Source organism: Homo sapiens, chromosome 7 (assembly GCF_000001405.40).
Source record: "Homo sapiens chromosome 7, GRCh38.p14 Primary Assembly".
NCBI classification, from domain to species: domain Eukaryota; kingdom Metazoa; phylum Chordata; class Mammalia; order Primates; family Hominidae; genus Homo; species Homo sapiens.
In genome coordinates this window covers 101,265,731-101,279,527 of record NC_000007.14, presented here as the reverse complement: position 1 = coordinate 101,279,527, position 13,797 = coordinate 101,265,731, and the positions used below count along the sequence as shown (strand labels likewise).

Below are 13,797 nucleotides of genomic sequence, written 5' to 3'. Positions count from 1 at the left end.
GATTCTCCTGCTTCAGCCTCCCAAGTATCTGGGACTACAGGCACACACCACCATGCATGGCTAATTTTTGTATTTTTAGTAGAGACGGGGTTTCAACATGTTGGCCAGGCTGGTCTGGAACACCTGGCCTCAGGTGATCTGCCCGCCTCAGCCTCCCAAAATGCTGGATTACAGGCGTGAGCCACGGCGCCTGGCCTGGGCCTGGATTCTTGTACATGGCATTAGGGCACCCCTGTGAGTTGCCCCAAGGATCACATGTGCACGACTGTGTCATCTGAGCAAACTCCCCCAAAGGGTGTCTGCATTCCCCACAGCCATTGCTGGTGCTAACAGGACAAGTTCCAAAAAAGAAAAGCTTTTAAAAATGTTTTATTGATTTATGTTTGATTTTTGGTAGAGATGGGGTCTTGCTATGTTGCCCAGGCTTGTCTTGAACTCCTGGCCTCAAGTGATTCCCCTGCCCCGCCGCACCTCAGCCTCCCAAAGTTCTGGGATTACAGGTGCGAGCCACAGTGCCCAGCCTGAAATCACTTTCTAAATTTGCCCTTTTCATCATGTTTTCCTCTTGTAACCGTTTTATGTCACGTGTACCCTGAGGCCCCCTGACAGCCCCCCTTGGGTCCCCTCTGCAGCCTCTTGTGTTATATGTGATCGGAGCACCCCCAGAGCTTCGTCATCCGTGACGAGCACCCGCCCTCTCTCCAGTGGGAATCATCAGCTGATGAATAAGGGCTGATTTCTTCTCAAATGATCACCACCCCCAATTCATTACATTCCAAAGACTGAGCTCAGAATGGCTTATCTGATGCTTGGTGCGGTTGTGCTTTTTTGGAACGCCGTTCATTGAGGACGCAGGTTCTCTCCCGTGTGATGCTCTTGGGCGCAAGCTGTGACGTGGGTTCCACGCTATTCTGTGCCACGTCCTCCCCTGTGATTTTCGCATCTCCGATAACTGCTTGCCTCCGTCTGAGGATTTTCCTCCGCTGGTGCCATTCATTGGGAGTCTCTCTAGTATGAATTATGAGATGAATGGAAATTTTCCCTCATTCATAATATTCAAAGCTTTCCTCTGCCCTGTGAATTCTTTGATATTCTTCCAGAATCCTGACCAAATATTTTGCCATGTGTATCGGGCCAGTAGAGTTTAGGCTTAGAGTCTGCAATTTCCCCAAAGTGGTAACTTTCTTTTTTTTTAAGAGATGGGGTCTTGCTCTGTTGCCCAGGCTGGAATGCAGTGGCATGATTATAATTCACTGCAGCCTTGACCTCCTGGGCTCAAGTGATCCTCCCATCTCAGCTTCCTGAGTAGCTGGGACTACAGGCACACATCACCATACCTGGCTAATTTTTTTTTTTTTTTGAGACGGAGTCTTGCTCTGTCTCCCAGGCTGGAGTGCAGTGGCATGAACTCGGCTCACTACAACCTCCACCTCCCGGGTTCAAGCGATTCTCCTCCTGCCTCAGCCTCCCAAGTAGCTGGGACTACAGGTGCGTACCACTATGCCCAGGTAATTTTTTGTATGTTTAGTAGAGATGGGGTTTCACCATGTTAGCCAGGATGGTCTCGATCTCCTGACCTCAAGATCCGCCCGCCTTGGCCTCCCAAAATGCTGGGATTACAGGTGTCAGCCACCGCGCCCGGCCCCATTGAGGAATTTTAAAATTCCATTTGCTGGAAGAACCAGCCCGTTTTCTGTCTGTTACATGGCTATCTTGAAATAGTCCTGCCTGGAATTGCTTGAACCTGGGAGATGGAGGTTGCAGTGAGCTGAGATCGTGCCACTGCACTCCAGCCTGGGTGATAGAGCGAGACTCCGTCTCAAAAAAAAAAAAAAAAGAAAGAAAGGAAAAAGAATAAGAAAGAAATAGTCCTACCTCCACAGTCCCTTCTTCAGCCTGTCAAAGCCAAAAAGTTTCCCAAGATCCTAAGTCTAGTAGGCAAGAAACACTTCCAATCCCTATTAAAGCCATGTTCATGAGGGAACTCAAGTTTTCTACCCACAGGCACTGGAATTTCTGCTGTGGGAACTGGGGGACGTTCTCGAGCCATGGAAGCCTTGAGGCCGTTCGGACTCAAGAATGTGATGATGCCCTCAGTTTCGTGAGTCTTGTATTCTGGTTTATTTCTGCTCCACTATGTCTGAGGCCTCCTGTTCTCGCAGCAGCTATTGGGGCTGAAATGTCCAAAGTGGCTTTTGCAGTCACGTGACTGGTGCCTCATGTTCTTCCACTTGGTCTCTCTTCCCGACAGAGCAGCCTTGTTGTCTAGTACAGTTATTGGGCTCTGAGAACCCTCTATGGATGCCCTAGGCCATTGCACCATCACCTGTGCTACCCCTGGCCCCTCCATGGAAACCGCTGCCCAGGCAGCTGTGTGACACCATGTGACCCTGCCTCTCTTCCACCCACCAAGTCCCCAAATATACAGTTCACTGGACCAGGATCCCATATAGGCTGGCCAATGATTTTTGAAGTCATCTGGCTCAAAAATTTAGGGAAGTCACCCAGGCCAGCCAATTCCCTTTTGGAAACTGGGGCGGAAAAAGCAGACAGTAGAATTAGTAAGCCACAAGATGTCCTGAGGGCAAGTAGGGCCTGGTCGGACCAGTGTGCTGGCCGAAATTACACTGGAGAAGAAACTTGGCCGTTGAAGCAAAACCAAAATCAGCTATACCATGGAGAAAATCCCCTCATTGTGGAGGGAAAATGAGCTTGGCTTTGGCAAGAGGATAAAGGAGGAGAGGGTGACAACAGAGTTGGGACTCCACAAAAGGCCGAGACAAGCCAACCCTGGGCTGCCTTCTGCCTGTGGGTGTCACTGCTGCCAGTTTGCCGCTCGTTCCCTTGGCTGTCAGTTGGCTTAAAAGTGGGCAGATGACTTAGCTGTGCTGGTGAAACATATGGGGATTCCCGGCCCATGCAGCATGCCGTCCCACTTGCCAGGAGAGGTGGCTCACGCCTGTAATCCCAGCACTTTGGGAGGCCGAGGTGGGCGGATCACCTGAGGCCGGGAGTTCGAGATCAGCCTGGCTAACATGGTGAAACCCCGTCTCTACTAAATATACAAAATTAGCAGGGCATGGTGGCACATGACTGTAATCCCAGCTACTCAGGAGGATGAGGCTGGAGAATCACTTGAACCTCGGAGGCGGAGGTGCAGTGAGCCGGGATGGCGCCACTGCACTCTAGCCTGAGTGACAGAGTAACACTCCGTCTCCAAAAAACAAAAACAAACAAAAAAACAACAAAAATTAGCTGGGCGCAGTGGCAGGTGCCTGTAATCCCAGCTACTTGGGTGGCTGAGGCAGGAGAATCACTTGAACCCGGGCAGCAGAGGTTGCAGTGAGCTGAGATCACGCCACTACATTCCAGCCTGGGCAATAGAGTGAGACTTTGTCTCAACAACAACAACAACAACAAAAGTATGGGGAGATGGCTGGGATCTGGACCATCTTGAGACCATGAGGCAACAAGACCAAGGGGAAAAGCCCACACACTAAGGATGGCAGAGCCTACGTCCTCTATGAGAGCGTTGAGCCACCATACCTATCCTGGACCCCCCACTTCCAGTCTCTGATCTGTAAGTCACGTGTCTTTATTTTCTAGGCAGATTTCTGCTATTGCAGCCTAAAGCATCCCTCACCCCTTCTCAGAAACCCGTGGCTCTTGCTATAACTCCCAGTGGAAAATCAACCTAAGTTTAGACATTAGAAATGGAATTATTGCTTATATGGAAGGAATAAGAATCAGGATTGGTCCTTGCCTACAGAGGAATCCCAGCTCTGAGTCCTAACCCCAAGGCCTAGGGGACACAGACAAGGAAAGAAAGAGATATCTGGGAAAGTTCCAGACATCTTCTTTTTTTTTTTTTTTTTTTTTTTTTTTTTTTTTGTCTCACTGTCGCCTAGGCTGGAGTGCAATGGCACAATCTTGGCTTACTGCAACCTCCGCCTCCCGGGTTCAAGTGATTCTCCTGCCTCAGTCTCCTGAGCAGCTGGAATTACAGGCATGCACCATCACACCCAGCTAATTTTTGTATTTTTAGTAGAGACGGAGTTTCACCATGTTGGTCAGGCTGGTCTTGAACTCCTAACCTCGTGATCCACCTGCCTCAGCCTCCCAAAATGCTGGGATTTCAGGCATCAGCCACCGTGCCCGGCCTCTTTCTGGCTTCTCTAAGCAGAGCGAGGAGCCAGAAATCTGCAAAACCTAACTCACCTCTATTAAGAACTCAATGGGAGAGTTACTGTAGGGAGAGGCAAGAATGTATTTTGGAAGACTTAGAATGCTGGTCCAAGGACAAGGAACGAGGCTGGTAGGAGAGAAGCAATCAGTTGATGAGGATTAGAGAAAGCTTTCTTCTGGTCCGACTTTCGCCAAACAACGCGTTGTGTGTGTGTGTGTGTGTGTGTGTGTGTGTGTGTGTGTGTGTTGCTTCAACACAAGACATATGCCTGATTCTTCCCTTATGAAATGAGAAGCTGAATGCAAGAGCTCTAGCCCGTCCTCTTTAAATCTCTGTTTTTGAAAATATAAAACAAAGATAAACTGGCATCCTCCTAATGTATCTTTGAAATACACATTACTGGCCAGGCGCGGTGGCTCACGCCTGTAATCCCAGCACTTTGGGAGGCCTACGTGGGCGGATCACGAGGTCAGGAGATCAAGACCATCCTGGCTAACACGGTGAAACGCTGTCTCTACTAAAAATACAAAAAATTAGCTGAGCGTGGTGGCGGGCGCCTGTAGTCCCAGCTACTGGGGAGGCTGAGGCAGGAGAATGGCGTGAACCCGGGAGGTGGAGCTTGCGGTGAGCCAAGATCGTGCTACTGCACTCCAGCCTGGGTGACAGAGCAAGACTCTGTCTCAAAAAAAAAAAAAGAAAGAAAGAAATACACATTACTTCATTTTTCTCAGACCTGGAGAAAAAGCACCCCCAGCCCCATTTTCCCATCTCCAAATAATCTTCAGCATTTGTAGAGATGTGGCCCCTGGAAGTTCATCAGATATATGGGGCCCACCCACGCGTGTGTTGCGATGATATTAGAATTTGCAACTGCCAGATTCTGGCACCAAACCCAGCACCTCTCAATACTGTCCTGCACCCCACATATTGTATGATTTTTTGTTTTTTTGTTTTTTTTTTTTGAGATGGAGTCTCGCTCTGTTGCCCAGGCTGGAGTGCAGAGGCATGATCTCGGCTCACCACAACCTCCGCCTCCTGGGTTCAAGAGATTTTCCTGCCTCAGCCTCCTGAGTAGCTGGGACTATAGGCATGTGCCACCATGCCCGGCTAATTTTTGTATTTTTAGTAGAGACAGGGTTTCACTATGTTGGCCAGGCTGGTCTCGAGCTCCTGACCTCGTGATCCACCCGCTTCAGCCTCCCAAAGTGCTGGAATTACAGGCATGAGCCACCACACCCGGCTTGTATGACGTTTTGAAGGGCAAAGCCAATGCACCATTGATGTTTGCCTGTTGCTTCATTCACTCAATAGAGATGTAAGGAATGAAAGCTTTGATTGGGGTGAAAGAAGTAAAAAAGTTTAAACCCCTACTTTAATGGGATTAATGCTTTAATGTGAATATTAATAAACCCTGAACTCCTCCAGCAAGTTTCTCTATATATCACTGAGGATTCTGTGAAATCCAATAAGGAAAAAAACTGGAAGACTTTTTCCCCTTCTTCGTCATCAAGGTTTTTCTCGGGGATGAATTGGCCTGATTAGTGCCTGAAAGTTCTCCCACGATCTGTCCAAGCTCATTCCTTTTTTTGTGTGAATTCTCCAATGATGAAAAAGCTAAGCTTGTCCCCAAGTGATTTTCCACACTAATTATACTCCCGAGGCTTCTCTCCAGTGTGGATGATCTCACATTCCGTATTCTCCACGCTTCCCCGAGTTTTCCGTCTTCATTACGTATGACCATTTTAAGTCCCAACTGAATTAGCTGATATTGTCTAAGTATGGAACTCTGATTGAAGGTTCTTCCTCATCCATTATACTCACAAGGCCTCTCTCTGCTACAAAATCCCAGATGTCTGATTAGCTCTGGGCACCATCTCAAAGCATTTTTACATCCATTACGCACATATGATTTTCCTCCATTGTGAATTCTCCGATGTTGAATGAGCTGTACTTTCCCGAAAGCTCTTTGCACGTTTCTGCATTGATAGAGTCTTTGTTGCATCTGAATTAGCTGATGCTGCATTGGAATGTTGACAATGCCTCCCCCATCCCCAGGGATTCTCTCCAAAATAAATGTTACAGTGTTCAATAGCATGGAAGCCCCAGGGAAAATTGCCTATATAAATGACAAAGATGTTCTCTGTGATACAAACACTGTAATATTGAATAAATTCTAAATTCTGTTGCACAACTTGGCCATATCTTATTTGGAGTTTCTCTCACTTCTAAAACATGTAAATGGGATCATGGATTTTTTCTGTATTCGTGGCACTCAATGGGATGGGGTCCCTAAAATGGTTCTCCACAATGTCCCCATGTTTGTAATGGCCCAAGGGGTTCTTCCTGACTGCCACATAAACAAAGTCCACTCAAGACCATGGCATTAAAGAGTTTCATTGATGCGAAGCCAGCTATGCCACGCGGGAGGTGGAGATGTTATTCAAATCAATCTTGCCAATGGCTTGGAGATTAGGGATTTTTCCAAGATAGTTTGGTGGGCAGGGGCTAGGGTAGGGGGCCTGTTGATTGGTTGGGTGGAGGAGATGAAATCACAGGGAATTAAAGCTGTCCTCTTGGGCTGAGTCAGATCCTGGGTGGGGGCCACAAGACTGGTTGGCAGGTGGGGACGTCTAGTTGTCAGAAATGCAAAAATTTGAAAAGCATTTTTTCTTTTTCTTTGAGATGCAGTTTCGCTCTTGTTGCCCAGGCTGGAGTGCAATGGCGCGATCTCTGCTCACCACAATGTCCGCCTCCCGGGTTCAAGCAATTCTCCTGCCTCAGGCTTCCCAAGTAGTTGGGATTACAGGCATGCACCACCGTGCCCGATTAATTTTGTATTTTTAGTAGAGACAGGGTTTCTCCGTGTTGGTCAGGTTGGTCTCAAACTCCCGGCCTCAGGTGATCCACCTGCCTCAGCCTCCCAAAGTGCGGGGATTGCAGGCGTGAGCCACTGCGCGCAGTCCTGAAAAGCATTTTTTTCTAAATATACATATAGATTTTCCCTATTAATCAGATTTTTATTTTCTTTATTTATTTTATTTTTTTTTTATTTTGAGACAGTCTTGCTCTGTCACCCAGGCTGGAGTGCAATGGTGTGATGTCAGCTCACTGCAAACCCCACCTCCCGGGCTGTTCAAGTGATTCTCCTGCCTCAGCCTCCTGAGTAGCTCGGATTATAGGCACCCGCCACCATGCCCGGCTAATTTTTGTATTTTTAGTAAAGATGGGGTTTCACCATGTTCGCCAGGCTGGTCTCGAACTCTTGACCTCAGGAGATCCGCCCGCCTCAGCCCGCTAAAGTGCTGGGATTACAGACGTGAGCCACTGTGCCCAGCCTACTCTGATTTTTCAAAATGCTGTGGTAAAAACAAGATAGATATGTTAGAGTTAGTAGTCACTTAGAGATTGAAAAATGTCTTCAAAAGGGGTTAAGTGTTGTCAGTTGTGTCTGCATGGCCAAGAACTTAGATAAAATGAAAAAGGATGAAGGAAAAATCATGTAACATAATCACAAAAGGTTGTGTTCACAATGATGTCGGGGATCTCACGAAGGTTCCTTAATATAGATAACATTTTAACAATAGCCCTATTTTAAGTAGTCATCTTTTTTCTCTACAATGTATTCCTGGAACTGCTTTGTTAAAAAGTCATATTTTCTCTTAATAATTACTCATATCCTGCAGCAGCATCGAATTCTAATTATAATAAACACATCATAAAAGCAAAAACATGGCCAGGCGTGGTGGTTCACGCCTATAATCCCAGCACTTTGGGAGGCCGAGGCGGGAGGATCATCTGAGGTCAGGAGTTGAAGACCAGCCTGACCAATATGGCGAAACCCCGTCTCTACTAAAAATCCAAAAATTAGCCAGGCATGGTGGCACTCTCCTGTAGTCCCAGTTACTTGGGAGGCTGAAGCAGGAGAATCGCTTGAACCGGGAGGCGGAGGTTGCAGTGAGCCGAGATCATGCCACTGCACTCCAGCCTGGGCAACAAGAGCAAAGCTCCGTCTCAAAAAAAAAAAAAAAAAGGCAAAACCATAACAATAGGGTAGTCTTTAGTAATATACAAGGGTCATACTATGCTTGGAGTCATATGACTTTGGATATAGATGTGTAACAAGAGTGGTTATTTTACAGGCTTCAATGTACTCTGAAGTCCACACAAAACACAAACTATTCTGCTATTCTGTCCAGTCTAAAAATAGCCCTATGAAAAAAATATATAACATTAACAATGTGCTTCCCTTTTTAGAATTCTGGAGAATCATGAGGAAATTATGTATAAGATCTAGGGCTCTTTTCAAAATAAGCTTTTCAGAGAATACTGAAATAATCCTTTCTCTTTCTTCAGATAAATCTCCCTGAAAGAAACAGAAATACGCCAAGTAATCCCATTGATCTTTTTCTTTTCTTTCCGGTTTTTTTTTTTTTTTTTTTTTTTTTTGAGATGCTAGTCTTGCTCTGTCACCTAGGCTGGAGTGCAGTGGTACGATCTCGGCTCACTGCAACCTCTGCCTCCCAGGTTCAAGCAATTCTCCTGCCTCAGCTTCCCGAGTAGCTGGAATTACAGGCATTCACCACCAAACCTGGCTAATTTTTGTATTTTTAGTGGAGATGGGGTTTCACCATGTTGGCCAGGCTGGTCTCAACCTCCTGACCTCAGGTGATCCACCCACCTCTGCCTTCTAAAGTCCTGGGATTACAGACGTGAGCCACCGTGCCCAGTCCCAGTTTTGGTTCTTTTTGTTGTTGTTGTTCTTTTTTTTTGCTCTCGTTGCCCAGGCTGGAGTGCAATGGTACGACCTTGGCTTACCACAACCTCCACCTCCCAGGTTGAAGCAATTCTCCTGCCTCAGCCCCCCGAGTAGCTGGGATTACAGGTGTGCACCACCACGCCCAGCTAATTTTGCATTTTTACTAGAGACGGGGTTTCGCCATGTTGGCCAGGCTGGTCTCGAACTCTTGACCTCAAATGATCCATCCACCTCAGCCTCCCAAAGTGCAGGGATTGCAGGCGTGAGCCACCGTGACCAGCTAGTTTGAGTGTTTTCTATCAATCCACCTTTGTCTACTGACTCTTCCTCACCTTCATATTGTTACTGAGTCCATCCAGTGAGTTTTAAATTTTTGTTGTTGTATTTTTGTTTTAAAATATCCATTTGAGGGTAGGTGCTGTGAATCATGCCTGTAATCCCAGCACTCTGGGAGGCCGAGGCGGTCGAATCACTTCAATTCAGGAGTTTGCCACCAGCCTCGGTGACATGGCAAGACCCTGTCTCTACAAAAAATACAAAAATTGTGCTTGCTTTGGCAGCACATATACTAAAATTGGAACGATACAGAGATTAGCATGGCCCCAGCGCAAGGATGACACACAGATTCGCGATGCATTCCATATTCTTGCTATAGTCCGCTGCCCGTTACCTCGCTTTGCTTCCCTTCCCCGTATCCTGCCATAACGTCACAGGGCCCGTGACGTCATAGCCTTCCCATGTCCGTCTCCCGTTGCACCATTGAGGTTGGCGATTGGAGAACAATCTCGCCATCCCCACTCAGGCGTGGCGCCTTGCCACCTGCCGCTGTAGCCCCCATAAAACAATAAATAAAAATAAAAATACAAAACTTAGCCAGGCATGGCGGTACACGCCTTTAGTCCCAGCTACTCGGGAGGCTGGAGGTAGGAGGATCACTTGAGTCCGGGAGGCAGACGCTGCAATGAGCTGAGATCATATCACTCCACACCAGCCTGGGCAACAGAGTGAGACTCTGTCTTTAAAAAAGAGGGCCAGGCGAGGTGGTGCATGCCTGTACTCCCAGCTACTTGGGAGGCTGAGGTAGGAGAATCGCTTGAACCTGGGAGGCGGAGATTGCAGTAAGCCGAGATCCGTGCCATGGCACTCTAGCCTGGGCAACAAGAGTGAAACTACATCTCAAAACCTCAAAACAAAACAAAAAAACAAGGCCAGGTGCGATGGCTCATGCCTGTAATCGCAGCACTTTGGGAGGCCGAGGTGGGTGGATCATCTGAGGTCAGGAGTTCAAGACCAGCCTGGGCAATATGGTGAAACGCTGTCTCTACTAAAAATACTAAAATTAGCCAGGTGTGGTGGCGGGCGCCTGTAAACCCAGGTACTCGGGAGGCCAAGGCACTAGAATCGCTTCAGGAAGGTGGAGGTTGCAGTGAGCTAAAATTGCACCATTGTATTCCAGCCTGGGTGACAGAGCGAGACTCCATCTCAAAAAAAAAAAAAAAAAACCCAGAAAAACTGATAAAAGGATAGTAAGGATACCAAGCAACTCTACCCATATAAATCCAACAAGCTGGAAGAAATGGACCAATTTCTTGAAAACTACAAACTACCAAAAAACACTCAATATGAAACATAATTTTTAAAGTCTTGTAACAATTTTAAAAATGGAATTCATGGTTTTTTATTTTATTTTATTTCATTTCGAGACTGCGTCTCACTTTGTCACCGACACTGGAGTGCAGTGGCATAAACACGGCTCCCTGCAGCCTTGAATTCCTGGGCTCAGGTGATCCTCCCACCTCAGCCTCCTGAGTAGCTGGGACTACAGCCGCCCACCACCACACTCAGCTAATTTTTTTATTTTTTGTGGACATGGGGTTTTGCCAAGTTGCCCAGGCTGGCCTCCAACTCCTGGGGTCAAGCAATCCACTTGCCTTGCCTCCCAAAGTGTTAAGATTACAGGTGTGAGCCACCATGCCCAGCTGAATTCCCCTTTTTTTTTGAGATGGTGACTCACTCCATCACCCAGGCTGGAGTGCAGTGGCACGATCTCGGCTCACTGCAACCTCTGCCATCCAGGTTCAAGCGATTCTCCCACCTCACCCTCCTGAGTAGCTGGGATTACAGGAGCCCACCACCTGTAATCCTAATTTTTTGTATTTTTAGTAGAGACAGGGTTTCACCATGTTGACCAGGCTGGTCTCAAACTCCTGACCTCAGGTGACCCACCCACCTCAGCCTCCCAAAGTGTTAGGATTATAGGCCTGAGCCACTGCACCTGGCCTTGAATTCATAGTTTTAATAAAACAATTTCTTGTCTTCGTGGTCACATACAGCTAGTTTGGTGATTCCCTGGAAGGACCCACGTGACTGCAGATAAAGTTATGCTCTAGGTGAAGATATATTACAGCGGAGGATACAATACAAGAACAGCAGGAAAAAGGGTATTAATAGATGAAGGCTGGAGAGGTCAAATGCACACTTTTTTATCCTCTCTCTGCAGGAATGCACAGACATATCTTTTCCAGGAGCAAACTGCAAGGACTTGTGTGAGATGTCCTTGCCCAGGAAATTCCACTTGAGTTCTGGTGTCAAAATTTGTGTGGTCAGGCCAGTCGCAGTGGCTCACCCCTGTAATCCCAGCACTTTGGGAGGCCGAGGTGGGAGGATTGCTTGAGTCCGGGAGTTTGAGACCAGCCTGGGCAACATGGTGAGACCTCGTCTTTATTAAAAAGAAAAAAAAAATTAGGCTGGGCGTGGTAGCTCACGCCTGTAATCCCAGCACTTTGGGAGGCCAAGGCAGGCGGATCACCTGAGGTCGGGAGTTCCAGACCAGCCTGGCCAATATGGTGAAAACCTGTCTCTACTAAAAATACAAAAATATTAGCAGGGGCCGGGCGCGGTGGCTCACACCTGTAATCCCAGCACTTTGGGAGGCCGAGGCAGGCGGATCACGAGGTCAGGAGATCGAGACCATCCTGGCTAACACGGTGAAACCCCGTCTCTACTAAAAATACAAAAAAAATTAGCCGGGCATGGTGGCAGGCGCCTATAGTCCCAGCTACTCGGGAGGCTGAGGCAGGAGAATGGCGTGAACCCGGGAAGCAGAGCTTGCAGTGAGCTGTGATCGCGCCACTGCACTCCAGCCTGGGCGACAGAGCGAGACTCCGTCTCAAAAAAAAAAAAAATTAGCCAGGCATAGTGGTGGGCTCCTGTAATCCCAGCTACTCGCGAGGCTGAGACAGAAGAATCGCATGAACCCGCGAGGCAGAGGTTGCAGTGAGCCAAGGCCACGCCACTGTGCTCCGGCCTAGGTGACAAGAGTGAGACTCCATCTGGAAAAAAAAAAAAATTAAAACATTTGTGGGATGGGCGTGATGGCTCGTGCCTGTAATCCTAGTACTTTGGGAGGCTGAGGAGGGCAGATCACCTGAGGTCAGGAGGTTGAGAGCAGCCTGGCCAACATGGTGAAACCCCGTTTCTACTAAAAATATAAAAAAATTAGCCAGGTGTGGTGGCACACGCCTGCATTCTCAGCTATTCAGGAGACTGAGGCGGAAGGATAGCTTGTACCCAGGGGGCGGAGGTTGCAGTGAGCTGAGATCGCGACATTGCATTCCAGCCTGGGCAACATTCCTGCCATGTGACCAAACACAGCCCTTAACCACAGGTTGGGCATCATGAATCTTTTTTTCTTTTTTTTTAGAAATGGGGTCTCACTATGTCACCCAGGCTGGAGTGCAGTGGCATGATCATAGCTTACTGTAGCTGCTGCTTCTTCTTTTTTTTTTTTTTTTTTTTTTTTTTTGAGACGGAGTCTCGCTCTGTCACCAAGGCTGGAGTGCAGTGGTGTGATCTTGGCTCACTGCAACCTCTGTCTCCCAGGTTCAAGTGATCCTCCTGCCCCAGCCTCCCAAGTAGCTGAGATTACAGGCGTTCACCACCATGTTCAGCTAATTTTTTGTATTTTCAGTAGAGACAGGTTTTTCCCATGCTGGCCAGCCTGGTTTTGAACTCCTAACCTCAAGCAATCCCGCCCGCCTTGGCCTCCCAAAATTCTGGGATTACGGGCATGAGCCACTGCACCTGGCCAAGTATCATGAATCTTTATGTTTACTTTAAATCTGCTGACAGCCTGGTTCATCTGGGCTCACTGTTTTGGCCATGGAGAATAACATCTGAACCAGTAACTATGTGAATATTCCAGAAGTTTGGTTTTCAGAGTTTGACAAACAGCCATCACCTTGGCTACAGAGATAAGTGAGAAAGGGGGGAAACAGACCTGTTGTATTAACTCTTTCCTCCCACTCTTGAAAAAGATATCTCCAGACCCAGATAGTTTCACTGGAGAAGTCTACTCATAGTTAAAGAAATATCGACACTAATTACACGTAATCTCCAGAAAACAGAAGAAGGACCACTTCCTGACTGACGAGGCCAATACAGTTGACCCTTATAGCTGCAGGTTCCCCATGCATGGATTCAGCCAACCACAGATCGAAAATTTTCCGAGATATGGACGCCAGGCGCGGTGGCTCATGCCTGTAATCCCGAGAATCGTTTGAACCCAGGAGGCGGAGGTTGCAGTGAGCCAAGATTGCGCCACTGTATCACTGCACTCCAGCCTGGATGACAACAGTGAAACTCCATCTCAAAAACAAAACAAAAAAAAACCAGAATATCACCCTAGGTGGGCATGGTGGCTCACAACTCTAATCTCAACATTGTGGGAGGCCGAGGAGAAAGGATCGCTTGAGCCCAGGAGGTTGAGACCAGCCTGGGCAACATAGCAAGACACTGTCTCTACAAAAAAATTAAAAAATTAGCTGGGTGTGGTGGTGCACCTGTAGTCCCAGCT

At 47.6% G+C, this 13,797-nt stretch overlaps 1 pseudogene, besides 1 other annotated feature; it reads left to right on the top strand.

The window, feature by feature from the left end:
* On the top strand, positions 9,487-9,587 carry RNU6-1104P (RNA, U6 small nuclear 1104, pseudogene; annotated as a pseudogene).
* Positions 13,366-13,543: a silencer, noted in NCBI's record as "fragment chr7:100909266-100909443 (GRCh37/hg19 assembly coordinates)". NCBI's record gives its function as "represses an EF-1alpha promoter that drives an FKBP-Casp9 reporter gene in an ReSE screen in HepG2 liver carcinoma cells {active_cell/tissue: HepG2}" and the evidence as "EXISTENCE:reporter gene assay evidence [ECO:0000049][PMID:32094911]".